A 1,473-nucleotide genomic window follows, 5' to 3' on the forward strand; every position below is an offset into this window, starting at 1 on the left:
CCATTCTCCTGTTTATCTCCCTCACCTTGGGTCTCTTTATTCCCTAAGGCACAGTAATATTGAAATTAGTTATTATTAATAATCCCACAGTGGCCTCTAACTGTTCAAGTGAAAGGAAGTGTTGTATGTCTTTCACTTTAAATCAAAAGCTTAAAATGATTAAGTTCGGTGAGAAAGGCTTGTGGAACATCAAGATAGGGTGAAAGCTAGGCCTCTTGAGACAAACAGCCAGGTTGTGAGTGCCAAAGAAAAGTAATTGAAGGAAATTAAAGTGCTACTTCAGTGAACACAACGTGATAAGAAAGAGAAACAGCCTTATTGCTGATGTGAAGAAAGTTTTAGTGGTCTGGATAGAATAGTAAATCCAGCCACAACATTCTTTTAAGCTAAAGCTTAATGCAGAGCAAGGCTCTTAACTCTCTACAATTTTATAAGGTCTGAGAGGTGAGAAAACTGCAAAGGAAAAGTTGGAAGTTGGCAGAGGTTAGTTTATGAGGTTGGAGGAAAGAAATCATCACTATAACATAAGTCTAAGTTGAAGCACCAAGTGCTCATGAAGCAGCTGCAGCAAGTTACGCAGAAGATCAAGCTAAGTTAACTGATGAAGGTGGATACACTAAACAACAGATTTTATGTAGACAAAACAGCCTTCTATTGGAAGAAAATTACATCTAGGACTCTCACAGATAGAATTCAGTGCCTGGCTTCAAAGCTTCAAAGAACAGGCTGAATCTCTTGTTAGGGATTAATGCAGCTGCTGAATCTAAGTTGAAGCCAATGTTCATGTACCCATGCAGAAAATCCTAGAGCCCTTAAGAATTATGTGAAATCTACTCTTCCTCTCTTCCTGTGCCCTATAAATGTAACAACAAAGCCTGGATGACAACACATCTGTTTACATCATGATGTACTGAATATTTTAGGTCCACTACTGAGACCTACTGCTCATCAAAAAAAGATTCCTCTCAAAATATTACTGCTCATTTAAACTGTACCCAGTCACCCAAGAGCTGTGTTGGAGCTGTGCAAGATTAATGTTGTTTTCATGCCTAATAACACAACATCCATTCTGCAGTCCACGGATCAAGGAGTAATATTAACTTGCAAGAAATACATTTCCTAAGGCTATAGTTGCCACAGATAGCAATTTCTCTGATGGATCTGGGTAAAGTAAATTGAAAACCTTTAGAAAGAAGTCAGCATTCTAGATGCTGTTAAGAACATTTGCAATTCATGGGAAGAAGTCAAAATATCAACATTAATACAAGTTTGGAAGAAGTTGATTCCAATTGTCATGGATGACTTTGAGGGATTCAAAACATCAGTGGAGGAAGTAACTGTGGATGTGGTGGAAACACCAAGTGAACTAGAATAAGAAGTGGAATCTAAAGACATGACTGCATTGCTGCAATCTCATGATAAAACTTGAACTGATGAGGAGTTGCTTTTTATGAATGAGCAAAGAAAGTGGTT

The sequence above is a fragment of the Homo sapiens genome, chromosome X, assembly GCF_000001405.40.
Source record: "Homo sapiens chromosome X, GRCh38.p14 Primary Assembly".
NCBI lineage: Eukaryota > Metazoa > Chordata > Mammalia > Primates > Hominidae > Homo > Homo sapiens.